This window comes from Homo sapiens, chromosome 2 (genome assembly GCF_000001405.40).
Source record: "Homo sapiens chromosome 2, GRCh38.p14 Primary Assembly".
Lineage (NCBI taxonomy): Eukaryota > Metazoa > Chordata > Mammalia > Primates > Hominidae > Homo > Homo sapiens.
Genome location: NC_000002.12, coordinates 167,931,378 through 167,951,533, shown reverse-complemented (window position 1 = coordinate 167,951,533; position 20,156 = coordinate 167,931,378). Strand labels below are relative to the sequence as shown.

At 40.6% G+C, this 20,156-nt stretch overlaps 2 long non-coding RNA genes across 2 annotated transcripts in view, besides 1 other annotated feature; both read left to right on the top strand.

The window, feature by feature from the left end:
• Window positions 5,494-6,693: an enhancer, noted in NCBI's record as "CDK7 strongly-dependent group 2 enhancer chr2:168801351-168802550 (GRCh37/hg19 assembly coordinates)". NCBI's record gives its function as "activates an origin of replication core promoter dependent on BRD2, BRD4, P300/CBP, MED14 and CDK7 cofactors, with strong dependence on CDK7, by STARR-seq in HCT116 cells {active_cell/tissue: HCT116}" and the evidence as "EXISTENCE:reporter gene assay evidence [ECO:0000049][PMID:35650434]".
• The window catches only part of B3GALT1-AS1 (B3GALT1 antisense RNA 1), a 126,371-nt gene continuing 116,604 nt past the window's right edge, over window positions 10,390-20,156 (top strand). The window contains exon 1 of the long non-coding RNA NR_131227.1: window positions 10,390-10,425. This is a non-coding gene — a long non-coding RNA (B3GALT1 antisense RNA 1). The remainder of the gene's footprint in view (window positions 10,426-20,156) is intronic.
• Window positions 11,915-18,490, top strand: LOC124907903 (uncharacterized). The gene is made up of 2 exons (XR_007087281.1): window positions 11,915-12,291; window positions 15,422-18,490. It is a non-coding gene; the product is annotated as an uncharacterized LOC124907903 (long non-coding RNA).

Genomic DNA, 20,156 nt, shown 5'->3' with positions numbered 1-20,156 from the left:
GTTTTATACACACACATACAATGGAATACTCTTCAGCCTTTAAAAAGAAGAAAATAACATCACTTGCAATGGCATGGATGAACTTGGAGGACATTATGCTAAGTGAAATAAGCAGATACAGAAGAAAAATTCTGCATGATCTCATATGTGGAATCTAAGAAAGTGGTAGTTATGAGGGGCAGGAGGGCAGGAGAAATGGGGACGTGTTTATCAAAGGGTATGAAGTTTCAGTAATACAGGATGAATAAGTTCTAAAGATCAAATGTACAGCATGGGTAGTATAGTTAATAATGTGTACTTGAAATTTACTAAGAGAATATATTTTAATGTTCTCACCATATACATAATGGTGACTGAAGAAATATATAGGTTAATTAGCTTGACTGCAGTTCACTGTATTAAAACATCCATTTGTACACCTTAAAAATACGCGATTTTTATTTTCAAAAGTTAAATTAGGAGAAACACTTTTTCTGGCATAAATTCTTAAAAATTCTTCTAGGAAGTAGAAGTTGTGTATTCAGAAATTTTTAAATTCTCAAAACCTTCATACAATACATATACAGCAAGTTGCGGACAATTTCCTTTTATGGATCTTTCAATAGGGGCCTAGAGTTAAACTGTATGGTGAGAAATGCAGGTCAGCAAGGAGCTGAAGGAGCATGGTCCAAGGAGTGACTCTCTCTTTTGATCTAGAAAGATAACAATCATCAAAGCTAAAAGTTTAAAGGAATGAGTAGACTACATATCCTTCAAGAAATCCTCTGTGCCTGTTTTTCTTAACCAGGCTTTTGATTAAAGATGACATGCCACAATTGAATGTTGTAATTCTGTTCAGCTTCCCTAAACACAGATATTTGGTATTACTTATTTGGACAGATTCACATGCTTTGAGAAACTGGAGGGTTCACAACCTCTTAGTAAAATCACGGCACCCACATCTCATGCCTAAACATGTACAAAAGCTATTGTGCCTCTAGTGTGCCTATACTGTGGTCAACTCAAAAAGATGTAAAATAGAAGGAAGTTCTCATTCATTTTACCTCCAATATACAGGGTTGGTTGGTTTGTTTTTTGAAACAGAGTCTCACTCTGTCACCCAGGCTGGAGTGCAGTGGCGCAATCTCAGCTCACTGCAACCTCCGCCTCCCAGGTTCAAGCGATTCTTCTGCCTCAGCCTCCCGAGTAGCTGGGATTACAGGCACCCGCCACCATGCCAGGCTAATTTTTGTATTTTTAGTAGAGACGGGGTTTCACTATGTTGGCCAGGCTAGTCTCGAACTCCCGACCTCAGGTGATCTGCCCATCTCAGCCTCCCAAAGTGCTGGGATTAGAGATGTGAGCCACCACTCCTGGCCTAACACCAATATGCAGTTCTTATATGAACAAAATGGTTTTCTGTATGTAAAAAACATTTAAAGAGACTTTAGTTGTTTTTTACATGTTAGAGAACTTTAGGGAGACTTTAAATGCTTTTAAAACATTAGAGAACTTTAAACCTATAAATCGTGTGGTGAAGAGTTCTTACAAATTTTTTTCCCCAAAATTTCCCTCATAAAGCTGGGAAGTTACCTATATGTTATATATCTTATGTGCTGATAAATATGGTTGATGACTGCCTCATCTCCATGACCATGAAAAAAAAAATCTACTACTATATGCAATGACCTTAACATGGAAGAATTTCACATCAGGATTGCCATTCATTCATTTAAATACTGTACCTATGGTCTGTTTAGTATTAAGTAATATACCTTCCTGATGAACCCACCAAGTTGAACTAGTAAACGGAATCTACCATTAAGTAATTAAATTATTCAGTCCATACAGAGATGATGAATATGAGTCAATGAACATCGGAGGACTTCTGCCTAAGTTAGCATTTGCAGTTGATAATAAGTGATCTTCGGTCTTCTTTTTTCTTGTAAGTATATTGGACAGGAGAAGCTGTTGCTTAGCAAGGCCTATTTAGTTCATCATAGAATCCTATCAGTATAAAATAGGATGTTTATCCATTCTTTACACAGAGGGTATGCTTCCAGCTCATCCCAAAATGGCTTTATATAATTAAGATTCAATTTAAATATACCCCTGTTTTTGTGTTCCACACATTTATTGTCCAACTTGTTAGGAGATCCTAGCTATGAATTCTGATAGGTGTCAGTGGTGCACCAGGTGGGTGATATGTCAATATTCCCTCAGGACCAGAAGGTTCTAACCAGGAGGTATGTAATGCCTTCCAGGGTTCTAAGTTTCAAGAGATCTAATACTAGGCCTAATAGCCATAAACAAACGGTTTTCAAATGACAATTTCCATTGTGTATTGGCATGAAATAAAAAATCAAGTGCTATGAGTTTGATTTTAAGAGATTTCCTTTATGTTGATGCCGTACTTCCTGGAGTTTTCAGCTTGGGGTGTACACTACCAGGTATGATTAAAATGTTCAATGCATCCAAAGTGAAAGGATTGGAAGAGCATGTGTTTAAAATATGATAAAGTGACTGACTCTGTCAACATCCTACACAAAATATCTGCCAATTAACATCAAACACCACCAAGAAAAGGGCTTCTCCCAACCCACTAGACAAGCCATAAAAGATGGTCTCGAAAATGCCCCAGTGATTGCCCTGATGCTATTTTGCTGCAGAGAAAATGCATGGTCAAGTAACAGTGATGTCCCTTTATCTACCATCTTGCACCTCGCCCACCAAATCTACCCAGGCTAGTTGAAGCTCTAAGAGCAATGGAAATAAAATGGACACAATCAGGTTATCAACAACTGTGCATTTTTTAACAAACCAATGGATGTCTTAATGGAGCATCTTCAGGTGAACAAGGATCTTATACTGAAGCAATGTACACAAAACTTCCCCCTACATGAATTGTAGCCTACAAAACAAGCATCATTAGCTGAAGAGGTTTATCGAACCCATATACTTTAACTCATAATTCATCAAAGGGCAAGCAATGTTATTAAAAGTTACTACCCTGTGCTATTGTTGATTGAATTTGGTACAGAATGATGAAAGGTCAGTAATAGAATAATCATTTCTACTGTGCATTTATCCCTCATGTAAAGTACTGGCTTGAGAAACAAAAGCTTACATCACACAGGAAATTTATCACAGAAGAAACAGGCTTATTGTTTAAAAAGAATCTTCAGTAAACTAATGGGTCCATAATCGGAGAAGTAGGATAGTGCCTTTCTTCAAAAAGTGGAAGAGATAATACTGTGGTCCAACCTTGACCCAAATGAACAATTTGGTATTGAACTATTTCAGCAGCAGGATGTAGATGTGTTAGGTAATACTAAGTTCAAAATCAACATGTGATCAGAATCAGATTGAGTACATTCAGGTAGTTTTTTATATACTTAAGTCTTCTTTTTCTCTTCCACACTCTGTGGGAAAAAAGGAACTCAGTGAATCAAAATGAAATGGAGAATTGAGGAAAAGCACAACCACATGGCCTACTGAGATGCCAGTGCTGTTCATGCTTATTGGGAAAGGCTGAATTCAGGTCCACCACACTATTTTCCCATTCTAGAGCATTGTATGAAGCTTGGTCCTATACATTATTGAGTTTGAGTCCCACAGTAGTTCTGTGATAATGTGGATACGTGCACTAAGGAACAGTATTAAGATCTATGTCTTACTGTGTGTTGTACCAAAAAGTTTGAAAGCCACTGCTTTCAGCCATTTTGAATGTTTTCTGGCTATTACTTGCAGCCCAAAGCAGTCACTCTGCTAAGCACATTATACTATCTCATTTAATCTTAACTCTGTCAGTTAAGTGTTATTACTCCCATTTTAAAGTGGAGAAAACTAAGTCTTGGAAAGACTAAGCTGCCCAAGATAACAAAATTAGTACTACAATATGAAGCAGGAATTTGAATGTAGGTTTATGGGGTTCCAAAGCCCATGCTCTTAATCATTATATCAGACAACCTCCTAATATAAGACAAGACACACTTTACTTCAGGTTTGCTGTGGGCCAGACATTAAGCCAAAAGCTTTTCCTACATTACCTTTCTTAAGCCTTTCCAACAACTTTAGGAAACTGGTTTCACTATCTGCATTTTATAGATGAGGAAATAGACGTACAGAGATTGTAAGTAACTTCTCCAAGGTCAGCCAGCTAGTAAACGGCAGAGGGGATTTGAACCTAATTCAGTCTGACTCGAGAGAATTTCCACTATACCGTGCTGCCTTTCAAAGGGCAAATCCAGGTTTTGTGGAGCCTAAAGTTTATACATTTTGGAGTAAGAGACTCAACGTTTTGGGTACAAAATTATTTGCAGAAAATTAGGTAGAGTCTTGGAAGAGGCCTTGAAGATTATTGCTGGTCACTCCACCACCGTGCCATAGGCTTTTCATTGCACTTGCTTTTTATTTTGTTATTTGTATTATAACTAGCTTTTATGTTCTTCAGTCCCTTTTGTGATATGCCTTCCAAATCTAGAAAGGTAAGTAATTTTCCCAAGATCAAAGAACAAGAAATAGTTGTATGAAAAGGGACCATTTCAGTGTGATTCTTTATCTTAAATAGACTTAAAAAATACAACTAAAATTTTTTAAATAAAAATAAACCAATTACATTCTGTGGTAGTAACATGTAAAACCCGAAGGTCTTCTGCTGCAGCTTTGCTGCTGACTGTGTGACCTCACTCAAGTTCCATTTTACTTCATTAAGCCTCGGTGTACTCATTTTTAGATTGAGAGGGATTAATTAGTTGATTATTAACTTCCTTTCCAAGATGAACATTCTAGAGGCCTAATTGAGCAGAGGAAGGAGTAAACCGGTTGCTGCTTGACTGAACTGGTCCATCCATTCAGCTGTAACAGTTGAGCTGTTGGTGAATAGGGCTTTAGAAATTCCAATCAGCTAATTAGGGTCTTTTGTTATAGCAAAGAATTGTACAGGGAGAGTCAGGGACAATCTACTGGAAGTTACAAAGAGGTGGAGGGTCATTGCTCTACAATGCGGCTTTATTGCTTTCTGCTTTTTCCCCTGGAGCCTCTTAAAGAAAGCTGGTGGGCAGGAGGAGGGGGAGAGAAAGAGACAGCCTCATCTTCATCCTGCAGAAATCTGCAGACAGCTCTAGGCTCCAGGTGAGCATAGCCCTAAGGCCTTCTCTCAGGATCTGGGCTGCTTTTGTGGATATTATTGGTGGCACCATCCCTCTTGCTTGGAGCTTTCCCCTTCTTTTGGGTGTGGCTGTGAATCGGGGCATGAATGGCCAGAACAGACAGTGGGCATAACTGAGGAAGCGAGAAGTGAGGAGGAAAGAGTCTGACAAATAGTCCTACCCACTCTCAACTGGAGAAAGATAAGGTTCATGAATTTGGAAAGGAGAGCTCTATTTCTCATAAACGGTTGCAGCCTGCAGGGTGACCTTCTCACAGGCTAGGCAGCATAGCCTCTGGCCAGATGCCAGGAACAGACACTTTAAGGGAGGGGCAAAGAGAACAAGAATTTATAATCAACAGGGTGGCCAAATATACATATTCAATAAGCTATAGGAGGAGTTATGAATATTTATAAGAGGAGAAATAGGTGCATGTGCAATTGAGCTTCGTGCCCCTTCATTTGACCCATATTCAAGAAATGGCAGCCTCAACATGATCTGAGGGTGAAGTTTTCACCCCTCTGACGTCAAAAAGTGAAGCCGAAGACGTGGAAACCCTTTCTGCACATTCTCTGTGGACTGGCCAACTCAGTGGTTGGTAGTCTCTCATCTGGCGAAAAAGGAGAGGCAGGGTCAGGTGGTTGGGTCGTATCAGAGGAGGAGTCTTTTGAAAAGGTCTGGTTTCTGTTTAGCCCTTAGGGAAGAAAGCCCAATAGCTTTCTTAGCTATTAACGAAGCTAATCAGCTTAGTTAGCAAGGGATGGGGTTCAACAAGATGTGTCTTACTCCCCCGATTCTGTTGCTTCTGGAAAGAGTCCAGTCTAGATCCCAAGAGAGGGCTCTTGTACTTCATGCAAGAAAGAATTTGGGGCAAGTCCATAAAGTAAAGTGAAAGCAAGTTTATTAAGAAAGTAAAGGAATAAAAGAATGACTACTCCATAGGCAGAGCAGTGGTATGGGCTGCTCAACTGAGTATACTCATAGTTATTTCTTGATTATATGGTAAACAAAGGGTAGATTATTTATGAGTTTTCCAGGACGGGGGCAGGCGATTCCTGGAATTGAGGGTTCCTTCCACTTGTAGACCATATAGGGTAACTTCTTGGCATTGCCACGGCATTTGTAAATTGTCATGGCTCTGGTAGGTGTGTCTTTTTAGCATGCTAATTTATTGTAATTAGATATAATGAGCAGGGAGGATGAGCAGAGGTCACTTTTGTCACCATCTTGGGTTTGGTGGTTTTTGGCCTGCTTCTTTACTGCATCACGTTTTGTCAGCAGGGTTCTTGTGACCTTTATCTTGTGATACCAGGCCTTACCCACCTCCTCTCCCATCCTGTGACTAACAATGTCTGACCTCCTGGGAATGCAGCCCAGTGATCTCAACCTTATTTTATTCAGCTCCTATTCAAGATAGAGTCGCTCTGGTTTGAACACCTCTGACACCATTATGGCGAAGAATTCAGTTTTTAAGGTTACTCTGGGATCCCCTTGGCCAAGAGATGGTTGGTTCGGTCAGTTGGGGGACTTAGAATTTTATTTTTAGTTTACACCACTTACCCTGAACATGTGGATAAAAGCAGCCATATTGTTCTTGTTGATTCCTAGGATTGAAGTCAAAACCCAAATCTTGGAAACTGCATATTCCTAGTATTTCTAGCATTTTCCTTTGTGAATTGTTAATGATTAATTAAAACTATTAAAAGATAGTTATCATTACTAAAAATAGTAACCACAGAGTGCCTACCATATTCCAGTTGCTTTTCATATGCATTTTGTTGTTATTAAATTATGCAAAGTAGGTATTCCTGTGTCCAATTTACAGCTAAAGGAAATGAGACTCACAGAATTTAAGTAACTTATCCATCGTCACACAGCCAGTAAATGGCAGTCCTGGAATTTGAACTTACATGTGTCTTCCCACCACGCCAAATCGTCTCCCAGTTAAATCTCCATTTTCCCTTATTTATTATGCTATTTGATTGCCTTTCAATCCACCAATATAGTGTAAGCTTCTTATAGGAATTATTTCATATGAAGCTTGAAATGGTAAACAATGTGGTATGGACCTTTATTTAACATTTGTTGGAAAATCCAATAATACAACTGGTAAGAAACAAAGAATCTACCGAGAGAAATATATTGTTGAAAACCAATGATTACAGTCAGACCAGCAGAGAATCCAGACTATAAAAATTGCAAATGGTAGTTGGAGGCAGCTCAAGAAAAGGACAGTCTGGCTGGGTAGTAATATTTGCAGCTGTTCCTCTGTGCTGGCAGCCTTTCAAAGCCACAACTATTAAATGCATTAATAAAAGGAATGCTGTGATAGCACCAGTCAGCTGTGCAAAATGAAGTTAAGAGTGATTGACAGATAAGTAGACTTTAAGCAGCAAATTGCTGAAAAGATCAGCCAGGAGCTGTGAAACATGGAATGATACTTTACTGTGGGTTAAAGAGAAAAAGAGTTGATTTGTCCTTGACTAGACCTATCTTAGGGATCAGTCAATTTTTCCTTGAACTTTTTGGTACCAGAATGGTATAGAAGAAGAAGGTTAAACTACTTTAAGTATTACCTGGATAATGCTCACTACCATAAGGGGATTACCTCTGAGTCCAAATCCTTCCTGTCTTGTTTTATGTAGCTCTTTGCCTTCTATCAGAAAGAGAGACTTATTTTTATTTGTTTATTTTTTTTGAGACAGGGGCTCGCTCTGTTTCCCAGGCTGGAGTGCAGTGGCACAGTTACAGCTCATTGCAGCCTCAAACTCCAGGGCTCAAGCAATCCTCCCACCTCAGCCTCAAGAGTATCTGGGACTACAGGTGCAAGCCACCATGCCCAGCTAATTTTTTTTTTTTTTTTTTTTTGTAGAGCAGGGGTTTCACCATATTGCCCAGGCTGGGAGATTTACTGTTAAACAATGATATAATGCTGGACTCTATTGGGTAGTGTGATGGTTAATGCTGAGTGTCAACTGGATTGGATTGAAGGATACAAAGTAATGATCCTGGGTGTGTCTGTGAGGGTGTTGTCAAAAGAGACTAACATTTGAGTCAGTGGGCTAGGGAAGGCAGATCCACCCTTAATCTGGTGGATCAATCTAATCAGCTGCCAGCGACTATAAAACAGGCAGAAAAACATGAAAGAGGGAGACAGGCCTAGCCTCCCAGCCTACATCTTTCTCCCATGCTGGATGCTTCCTGCTCTCAAACATAGGATTCCAAGTTCTTCAGTTTGGGAACTCAGACTGGCTCTCCTTGCTCCTCAGCTTGCAGACAGCCTATTGTGGGAACTTGTGAATGTGTAAGTTAATACTTAATAATATATATATTCCTATTAGTTCTGTCCCTCTAAGAGAACCCTGACTAATACAGGTAATACAGGTAGGGTCCTCTGAGTTTCAGAAAGCAGCTCAGTGTTGCCTTTTAAGAAGAGTGTTACCATTGTCTATGCTCCATTTGTTCAAGGAGACTGCATTTGCTCATGGCAGACATGGCTAATCAATCACAGTTCTAATCCTCATTGAGACTGAGTATTTTTCATTACAGCAATCCAGACAGCCTTGACCATTTGAGGTTGGCACTTGTGAAAACACAAGAACCTCATGTTTATTTTATCCACAACCATACACATACCACTTAGCTTACAGTTATGTAATAAATGTTGAATTAATTAATTATTGTCATGGCTGATTTATACTAATTCCCTCAAATTTAGAGTCATTAAACATAATTTTGAAAAGATCACAGGATTTCAGAGATCATCCGATCTAATCTCCTGGCAGTCTTCCTGGGAACTCATGCTTCTAACCCTCAGCCTTGTATTTCTTACGCTCTGCACAGAAAGAAATTCCCTTTCTGTTAAAGGAGAAAGATCATGCAAATATGAGATCAGACAGCTTTCTGAGTGGAGCCAGAGGTCGTGTTTCTGAAGCTTTTAATCATAGAGAGAATATGTTAAATGTATGATAATCCCCAGAATGTTATCCCAGAGACACCTGCTCTGGAAAAAACACCTGAGTATACAAGCAGATATTGGATGCATAAACTTAAAGTTTTAGCAAATCACCTTGAAGTCCTTAGCTGCAAAGAAATGATTATTTTTTCCACAATGACTGAGCCAGGGAACTTTCTCTACATTCCTGTGCTGAAGACGTTTGAGGCTGAGATTCTGTATTCATTCAGCCTCCAAGGAACCCTTTGCCCCGGGTCCATCCAGGTTGAAGGAGAGCCAAGCCCTCTCCAAAATAACGTTTTCTTCAAATATGTTGTCCACCTAGCTCAGAACACATGACAATGGCAGTGTAGGTTTTTCAACAATTTTTCAACTTCCTTTTCTTATTTGAATATGGAGCATCGTACCTTGTGCTGACTTTGAGAAAACACAATCCATCTGTAGCCTCTAAAAAGCTCTTGCATGTAAGTCGAATCCTGTGTCCCCTTTCGCTCCTTGTTTTCTGCCGAAGACCCCTTCGCTGTGCTGGAAGTGGGGTGGAGAGCTGAGGATCCTGAAGTGCCCTGGCTCTCGGTCACCACCATGGCCTCGCTCCTCCTCTGTGCTTCTGCACGCCAGCTGTGCTGGCCTCCTTGCTGTTTCTCTAACACACCAAGCACTGCTTTCATGGTTTCTTCAGAGACAGGCTTCTTCCAGATCTCCTTAGCTAATTACCTCTCCTTCTTCAAGACGCTGCACACATATTACTTCTTCAATGTGGCCTCCCTGAATTCTATATTTAAAATTCTAACCTTCAACCCACCTACCCAGTACTCTCGATCTCCTTACTCTGCTTCTTTTTCTTTTGCCAAAGCGCTTACCACTGTCTTTAAAAGTCTATAAAATTTACTTAGATTATGTCTGATATATATTGTTTCATGCTGCTCCCCAGGGTTAGAGACCTTTGTTTTGTCAACTGAGGTATGCAAGCTCCCAGAACAGTAACAAGGATATTACAGGCTCTGAGTAAATACTTACTGATGAATAAATGAATAATTTCTTAAGTAAAAACACAGGGAAAGCTGTGAAACAACAGCGACAGTTTGGCTGTATCGCCACCCAAATCTCAACTTGAATTGTAGCTCCCAGAATTCCTGTATGTTGTGGGAGGGGCCCAGGGGGAGGTAATTGAATCATGGGGGGCCGGTCTTTCCCATGCTATTCTCGTGATAGTGAACAAGTCTCATGAGATCTGATGGGTTTATCAGGAGGTTCCGCTTTTGCGTCCTCCTCATTTTCTCTTGCTGCCGCCAGGTAAGAAGTGCCCTTCACCTTCTGAGGCCTCCCCAGCCATGTGGAACTGTAAGTCTAATTAAACCTCTTTTGCTTCCCAGTCTCGGGTATGTCTTTATCAGCACTGTAAAGACGGACTAATACACTCCTTTTCGTGTAGCCTCAAATTTAATCAATTATGGGTTTATTTGACTTAATGGATGTTTCTTTTAAAATACAAATACTATGGTACTGGTGCTAAAGACTGTCAGTTACTAACACATTATTGTGAATCCATTTAAGGTAATCACTGCCTTCCACTCTCTAGTAGAGACCAGCTTCCTGACGAGAATGAGAATGTCTGAGGGATGTAGGATATTTTGGAACACAGACCACTTCAGGCACCATGGAAATCCTGGGTGGAAGCCAGAGTGGGAAAGCCTAAGGCAGCAGAATAGGATTCAGCCTGGAGAGATGGGAATGGTAAAACCGTGTTTACATTTTAATCTTTAGTTGCTGAGATGATCTTTTAAAAATCCCTCCAAGAAAAGCTTGTTTAGATCAATGACCGCCTCCCTTAAATCAATAACATCTGTTGGCCAAGTATATGTAAGTCTATGTCCCAAAATGTGCCCAGCAGGAACTTATTTAAAGGAGTAAATGGCAATGGGGATGAGCATTTGATTTCCTGGATTGCTCCATGTGTCTCTTGCCAGGAGACTGAAATGCTTATTCGATTTGCTTCATCTAAAAAGAATGATTCAGTTTCTCATGCAGCTCTCTACAGGCTGGTCCAGCTGATTAGCTATCCAGATGTCACTGCCCAACACTGTGGCACTTCCACAATTTATTTGGCCACCATGAATAATACCAATATTACAGCCCACACAAACACCATTTTATGGCTATTTTATGATTGTTAGATTGTTGATGGTCAAGCTGTTTTCAGAGTCAACACATCATTGTGTAGTGTCCTCAAATACAATCACAGACCTGAACCAAACAGCTTTGGGATGATGGTGAGAGGCTGTGGGGTTGGCATAAGCAGTGGTGTATTAAAGAGCTCAGGCTTAAAATTTTGTGATCGTTATAGTTATTCACACTCTATAGAGCTAGAGAAGCTTAATGAAATCATTTCCTTTCCATCTTTCCTGGAAACCAAATGGCTATTTGTGGTATGATATGAGATTTTTGAGCAAACGAGAGAGAGATGATAGAATGAGAAAACACAGGACTCTGAGGGCATCACGTCCCTCTGAGCCAAATGGAGGGAAATCTTTACAGAAATGCTGAAAATTCCCCTAAAAACCCTTCTGGATGTAAAGTCTTTCACAATAAATAACAATAGCTACCATTTACTGAATGCTCACTCCTTGCCAGGCACTGTACAAGCAAGATTGCACTTAATCCTCACAATAGCCCTCATTAGCTTATTGGGTAACTTCCCATATGAGTTACCTCCCATTGGGTAACTTCCCATATGAGTTACCCATATGCTCTACCACCTCCCAAAGTGAGGAGGTGGTAGAGCAAGAGCCCAAACCAGTGGCTATGATAACACCCAGGTCCTCCTTCCCTCTGTTACATTGTCTCCACACAAAAACCAAGGCGGGATACTGAGGTCTCTTGACTCTGTCTGCGGACAGAGGGTTTCAAGACATTATTTTACACCAGAAATCTCCCTCATTTGAGCTGGGTGTCAGGTTTTGGGGTATATATGCCACGAATATAGGAAGAGTATAAAGAGCTTTTTAAAGTTTAATTTCTTTTGAAATAAACATGTTTACATTTAGCCCAGGGTAGATTGTCCATAGTCAGGAAGGTGTGTCTGGTTTCCCCAGTGAGAAATGAAATTCTTTTGCTCAATCCTAGAGCCATCTTTCTCCTCTCTTTTAACAAAGCACCCTCGCTGTTGGTCCCTGCAAGCTTCAAAGAATAAAAGGCAATGCAGAGAAGGTAAGGTCTTGGTTTGTTTCCTTCACAAAATGAACCAAATGTTTTCTCTTCTAAAGCAAGAACCCAGAGAGTTGTCATTAGTCGGCAGCACTGATATGGGGATTAGGCGACTTCACGTTGTCTCCTTAAGTGTTTTTAAAATGGGTTAATGTGAGGGAACATCACATTTCTCTGTTGCCAAATGCCTTTGGGGATGTGAATGAATAATTTGGGTAAAAATTGGGGAAATGGCTGAGAAAAATGCTTCTCTTTGATTGAACAGGGGCGAGACATAACAGCCTTAGAGCTCTGTGATTTGGAAGGGTGTCTGGAGAAGAGCCAAGGGCTTAAAAATTAAGTATATGTTCAGCTTTTATGGTAAACTTTATAAGTACTTATGCCATTGGGTATCACAGGAGGAGAGTTGAATTAGAAAGTCAATAAACACACAAGCAAGAAAAAAAAACAGAGTAAAAGTGTTCTCTTAATTTTTTCTTGACCCATTAAATGCCCTAGATCCATCTGATGATTTCTTAAAGAATTTCTTTCCTCCATATGCCTCTTTTGCTACTATTTACGCTGTATAGCTGCCAGAGAATGCTTTTTTTACTACTAACAAAAGTCATAAAAACCAGTCTACGATAGTTTTTGTAAAAATGTTGCCACAAAATTAAAGACACAAAAGTCTACAACTCCAAAGTGAAGCCTATATTTTGCAGCTATGCTAATTTTTCTGAAAAGTCAACAAATAAAAAGTACAATTCTAAACTCCATCAAATGGCCAAAGTAAGCAGATGCTAGTGAAATACTGTTCTGTAGTGATGACATTAAGCTCATTGTCTCTGCTGCAATCCTAAATGAATAACTTCTTTAACTTCTACATTATTCTTGCAATTCTAGCTTGCAACAATATTTTCAAGTATGTCTGGGTCGATATTTGCTTTTTTAGTTGCTTATATTACAAATATTATATTATATTATATTTGCTTTTTTAGTTGCTTATATTAGTTACTTATATATTGCTAAATATATTATATTTAGTTGCTTATATTATATTGCTAGCTTGCAACAATATTTTCAAGTATGTCTTGGTCGATACTTGCTTTTTTAGTTGCTTATATTACAAACTATGTAAGCAAGAATTATTTGTATTATAGCACCCAAATGGAGTACCAGAAATTATTGATATTTACAATGAAACCAATATATAAAGCCTTAGGAAATAGAGAATATGAGCTAGTGAAACTCTCCCTTTAACTAAAAGGAGCATGAAACATCATGATATTCAGTTTTAGCTGAAACAAGAGAAAAAGAAATAATTGCAAAATGTACACGCTGCACCATAAACCTGTTTATCTTCAAGTAGTCTTTCTGGAGTCCCACTTAAATGTAGCTGAAGCTAGACAGATGATTTCCTATCCACAATCTCAATTACCAACACAGTTGGAGCGAACTTTGGAGACAATGTGGGTTGTTCACATAGTAATCAAGTTTTCCTAACCTGAATAGAGACTAAACCAAACAAATAGACACCCAACAAATATTTGTGAATTAAAGAAGGGATGGAAAAGTACAATTATTGAGTCAAACCAAGGTCTTTTAAAAAAAGGTTTTCTTGAGCTGGGGTCTTGCTCTATTGCCCAGGCTGGTCTCAAACTCCTGTCCTCAAACTATACTCCCTCCTCAGCCTAACAAGTATCTGGGACTACAAGTGTGAGCCAGGCTGACTAAGCTCTTAATTTTTTTTTTTCATTTCTTGGGTCTTGAAAATAAAGGGCATCATAATACCTGACAGCTTCACTTAGAGTTAGAACATTCCGACAGAAGTCACAAATTTAAGAAATCCTGTGCCCCAGTCATGTCTGTCCACATATGAAGAAAGCTGGGCCCAGAGAGAAGGAAGCTTCTTGCCTGCATCACACATAGCTTGTTACTGGTAGAGCTAAGGCTTAAACTTGAATAACTACTCGCAGGCTCACGCTCCCTTACGGTGCCATTCTGCCTCCTCTTTGCCTTCACCAGGGTGTCAGCCTTATCTACAGTTATCCCTCTGATACTATTTCAGTGACTCGCTGACTTCTAGAAATGTGAAATCATCTAAGGTACCAGTAAAAGCTTTAGGGGTACAAGCAATTATGCATCATGTTAGCTGTGAATCTTCCAGAGCCCCAAATATTGACAGGTCATGGAATGGGCCCACGACATTGGACACTTTACCTGCTTTTTGTAGCTGACTACATGGTAAACATTTTATAGTGGCTTGTGATTTTCCAAGGCTCAATCCCCTAAAAAATACTTTGTTAAGGGGTATTATGAATGCAGACTGACAGTTCTAAAGTAGCAAAAGAAAGATTTTACCAGGCACATTTTGATGTGGAGAGAGGTTTTTTGTTTGTTTGTTTTTGTTTTTCCCATCCCCCTTTGGAAGTTCTGTTATACTTGTTTAGCATAACATGTTTATAGTGAGACAGCAGTTAATATATTAGCATGTCAGCCATTATATTCCTGACAGGGAATTGAGCACAGATAAATGGATTCTTAAAGAGACTTCTAATACCTGCACTTATACGTAGTCTGCAAGCTAGAGAAAAAGCAAAACAATGCACATAAGTGTAAATATGCATGGCTGGTAGTGGAATGATCCTCAGCTGCTTTTTTTGACAACAAAGCCTATTGGCCTTAATTCTTTTTGAGACCGAGTCTCACACTGTCACCTGGGCTGGAGTGCGATGGCACGATCTCGGCTCACTGCAACCTCTGCCTCCTGGGTTCAAGCGATTCTCCTGCCTCCGCCTCCTGAGTAGCTGGGATTACAGGCACCTGCCACCACACTCGGCTAATTTTTTGTATTTCTAGTAGAGATGGGGGGTCTCACTATGTTGACCAGGCTGGTCTCGAACTCCTGACCTCGTGATCTACCCGCCTCAGCCTCCCGAAGTGCTGGGATTACAGACGTGAGTCACAGCACCCAGCCTTTTTTTGTTTTTGTTTTTTAAACATGGAAGTTATATTAGTCAGGGTTGTCCAGAAAAACAGAACTAATGGGGTGGGGGTAGGAGAGACAGAGAGAGATAAACATATAAAGAGATTCATTATAAAATTGGCTCATGCAATTACCGAAGCTGATAAGTCCCAATTTCTGCATCAACAGGCTGGAGATCAGGAGAGCAATGGTGTATTTCCAGTTTGAGTCCGAAGGCCTGGGAGTCAGCAGAGCTGCTGGTATATTTATGCCCAAAGGCCAATAAACTCAAGACCCAGGAAAAGCCGATGTTTCCATTTGAGTCCAAAGGTAGAGGAAGACCGATGTCCCAGCTGGAAAGCAGTCAAGCAGAGAGAGTGAATTCTCCCTTACTCCCTTTGTGTTCTGTTCCAGTTGATTGGATGAGGCCCATCCACATTAGGGAGGGCATCTGCTTCACTCAATCTACTGATTCAAGTGTTAGTCTCACCCAGAAACGACCTCACAGACATATCCAGAATAACACTTGACCAAATATCTGGGCACCCAAATGTCTGGGCACCCCACGACCCAGTCAAGTTGGCAGAGAAAATCAACCATGACAGCAGGGATACCAATGCATTCATTTTCTTTTCTTTCTTTCTTTCTTTCTTTCTTTCTTTCTTTCTTTCTTTCTTTCTTTCTTTCTTTCTTTCCTTTCTTTCTTTCTTCTTTCTTTCTTTCTTTCTTTCTTTCTTTCTTTTTCTTTCTTTCTTTTTCTTTCTTTCTTTCTTTCTCTTTTTTTCTTTCTTTCTTTCTTTTCTTTCTTTCTTTCCTTCTTTCTTACTTTCCTTTCCTTCTTTCTTTCTTCCTCTCTTTCTCTGTCTCTCTTTCCTCTCTCTCTCTCTCTCTCTTTCTTTCCTTCTTTCATCTCACTCACTCTGTCTCTGAGGCTGGAGTGCCGTGGCACAATCACGGCTCACTGCAGCCTCCACCTCCCAGGTTTCAGTGATTCTTGTGCCTCAGCCTCCCAAGTAGGTGGGATTATAGGCACCCTCCACCATGTACAGTTAATTTTTTGTATGTTTTGTAGAGACGGGGTTTCACCATGTTGACCAGGCTGGTCTCAAATTCCTGACCTCAAATGATCTGACTGCCTCAGCCTCCCAAAGTGCCAGGATTACAGGTGTGGGCCATCGAGCCTGGCCTCCACCAATGCATTTCTGCCACATAGTCATTTTCATTAGTTGAGTGGGCAATTTTCTTAAGCCACTTTACCTTCTGTATTAGTTTTCTAGGGCTGCCATAAAGTACCACAAACTGGGTGGCTTATACAACATAAATTAATTTCCTTACAGTTCTGGAAGCTAAAAGTCCAAGATCAAGGTGTTGGCAGAGTTGATTCCTTCCAAGGACTGAGGGAGAATTTGTTCCACGCCTCTGTCCTGGTTTCTTGTGGTTTGCTGGCAATCTTTGGCATTCCTTGGCTTATAGATACATCATCCCAATATTTGCCTATATTTTCATGTGGTTTCTCCTTGTTTATGTGTCCACGTCCAAATCTACCCCCCCCCCCTTTTTTTTTTTTTTGGAAACGAAGTCTTGCTCTGTTGCCTCGGCTGAAGTACAGTGGTGAGATCTTGGCTTACTGCAACATTTGCCTCCCAAATTCAAGTGATTGTCCTGCCTCAGGCTCCCAAGTAGCTGGGATTACAGGCACCCACCACCACGCCCAGCTAATTTTTGTATTTTTAGTAGAGACAGGGTTTCACTATGCTGGCCAAGCTGGTCTCAAACTCCTGACCTCAAGTGATCTGCCTACCTCGGCCTCCCAAAGTGCTGGGATTACAGGCATGAACCACCGCACCCGGCCCAAATTTACCCTTTTTATAAAAACATCCGTCTTATTGTATTAGGCCCAGCTAATGACCTCATCTTTACATTGATTACCTCTATAAAAACCCTGTTTCAGTTCACATTCTGAGGTACTGACAGTTAGGACTCCCACATATTTTTTGGTGGGGAGACACAACTCAACTCATAATACCTTCTGAAACTGAACAGCAGTTTCCTTGTTTCAAAGCAATGCTACAAGAAAAACTTGGAACTGTAACATCCCCCTGCAAACTGGGAAGGAGCTAAGAGACCAAAGAATGATTCAGACAAGTCCAGCTTGATGAGTAGATGAGTCTATCAGGACTTATGTACATGGCACTCCTGGATAGCGGCAGGACAGCGCTGGAGATCTGCGCCACCTCCCGACTCCAAACTGCTTTTAAATTAATTTCCTGGCTCTTTGCCTACTGTGTTTGAGTGATGAGACTGTTTTTCTTGATCGGTTCTCAGATACTCACTGGGATGTTTGGGTTCTTAGAGACACCTGCTCCTCGGTTGGGCACCCTGGACTTGGCTCACTGCCCAGCCTTCAGAATTCAGGCAGTGGACATACATCCTTAAGTAACTTGGTGGGGGACCCATCACACTACAGATGTAACGATAATAATTTGGCTCAAATCACTTTCTAGTTAACAATCTGGTAAAAGCAATAAGTAGGATAACCATATAACTTATTAAGTCAAAACAGTTACGAGGCTAAATTTTAGTAATACTCACTGAGACAGGGAGCAAAAACATGTCCCAAGCAAACTGGGATGCATGTTCCACCCTAGCTATATAAGATAACATGCCAGGTGTAGAGACACTGAAAGCTCCTTACTCCGTCTGCCCAGGTCTTCTGTCTCAGCAACTGAATAGGACTGGCTGCCATCAATCATGTCCCAGAATGAGGGTTTTAAAAGAATCTCACAGCGTTAATGTCAGTGTTGTGCAGCTTCCTGCAGTGGCACATCCAATATCAGACCTCCCAATCATCTTAGTATCTCTTCCGGTCCCAGTGTTTTGCTCTTATAGCTCTATCCCTCTTCTGAACATAATCATGATTATAATGAGATAATTGATTGTGTTCCTAGCAGTTTGGTATCTGGCTTTTTCACTAGATTGTTAGCTTCCTGAGGGCAGGGGCCATGTCTCTTGTTCTTCCCTGTATCCTCAAGCAGCTCATGCTAGATTTTGCCAATATTATGTGCCATCAATATCTGTTGAATGAATGTAAACAGCACTTCTAGAAGTACTTAATAGATGGTGGTTAAATAAATGAATGAGATACATACACATATACTGAAATAAAACTTACTAATTCAAGTTTTCCCATTATTTTTAAGAACCTTTGGAATTCTCTACTGCATACTCATGGGAGAATAAAAATGAAAAGGACCAAAATGTCTCAGTATTCTTATAACAATAATTTTGACCTTACAGGCCTTTGAAAGGGTCTCAGAAACCCCTGAGTACTCCCTGGATCACACTTTGAGAACCACTACTGAGGACAAGATAGAAAAGACCAGGGTCCCCAGTTGGTTGCATGGAGCAGAACCCTCTAACCGCCCCACTCCCTACCCCTAGGACGAGCTACCAGCATAGGTCTTCATATAAATTGTAAATAAACCTTCTACTACCTTATGAAAGCCATTGTACTTTGATTTCTGTTTCAGCGATCAAACCAACATGCTAATTAATACAATCGTTTGGTTGTTACATAGTAAAGAGGAAAGTGAGTTACTTCTTGTACCAAGCCTTGACTAAAGGCAGGAAACCAATTGTAGATCCAGAAGGTCTTCGTTTTCAAGATAAATGGGAAGAAGCACATTTCCTTATAGAAGTTACACGTTTCCTGGCTTTCAGATCCCAAGGGTGCCTGTTTCACTTAGTGTAGCCACTTCCTTCATTTGTGATACCTGCTGGCCCCAGTAGGTACATGAACCAGTTGGGGGCCAGTGGAAGTTTTCTGGCAGAAAAGTGAAGTCATCAGAGCAGTTCTTCAGGAAGGTCAATCTGGCAGCCATGGGGGCAGTGGACTGGAAGGGAAAGAGGCCAGCAATGGGAGAGCTGGGCAGCTGTAAGGCCACTGTTAGATTCTGTGAGAATTAATGAGAGTCTAGGTTAGGTGCTGGGTGGGAGAAGTGAGTGAATTAAAAACATTAATGTTCCAATTTCTATTACCTACACAGCAATAGCTACTGAGAGCCATAACCCAGAGCGTACCCTAACTCTGCACACAGACCATTCCTTTTTGTGGCTTATTTTCAGATTCCCGCCTGTTGGCCTGGGCCATGCAGGAACATCAAGGATCCCTTTAAGCCTTTTCCAATGAGCATAAAGGAAGGCTTCATCTTCCTTTTCCCAGGACCCAATTACCTCATAATGCTGAGGGCATGTGGAACAGAGGACACAATTGGCCACACTACACCACTCGGTAGGCAGCAGAGAAAAGAGAGTTGCCCCTACAGGCTGTCTGCATTATAATCCCACCAAAAGGTCTGCCTTCCAGTCCCAAGAAGGGAACAAGGGGGTCATTGCCCTGGGTGGCCCCTATATATATCCAGGGATATCCTTGATGGTCCTTGGCACTTACCATAGCCCTTCCTTCCTGAGTGTTGGAATGAAGTGTAAGAAGGGGACAATATGTGCCTGGCAATAGGAAGGGTAATAATAGCTAACATGTCTAGATAATGTGTAATGTTCTGGGTACATCTTTAAGTCTTTTTATGTACATTGCACCATGTAATCTATCTACAACTGGTACTATCTCATAAAAACCATTTAAGACAAGTGCTGATATCCCCTTATTATAGATAAAGGAACTTAGGCACAGAGACATTAAATCACTTGCCAAGGTCATATGTCGAATAACTGGAAAAGTTGGCATTTGAACCAGGTCACCTGTCTCCAAAGGCATGAAGTCTTAACCATAGCATTCTACCATCTCAAATATAGTGACAAAAGTTCTGGAGAAGAGTGGTTTCCAAGAGTGTGAGCAAAGGGAGGGATAGATTTCATATACCTATTCAGAGTACCTGACACCCAAACAAACAGAACTGGATCAAAA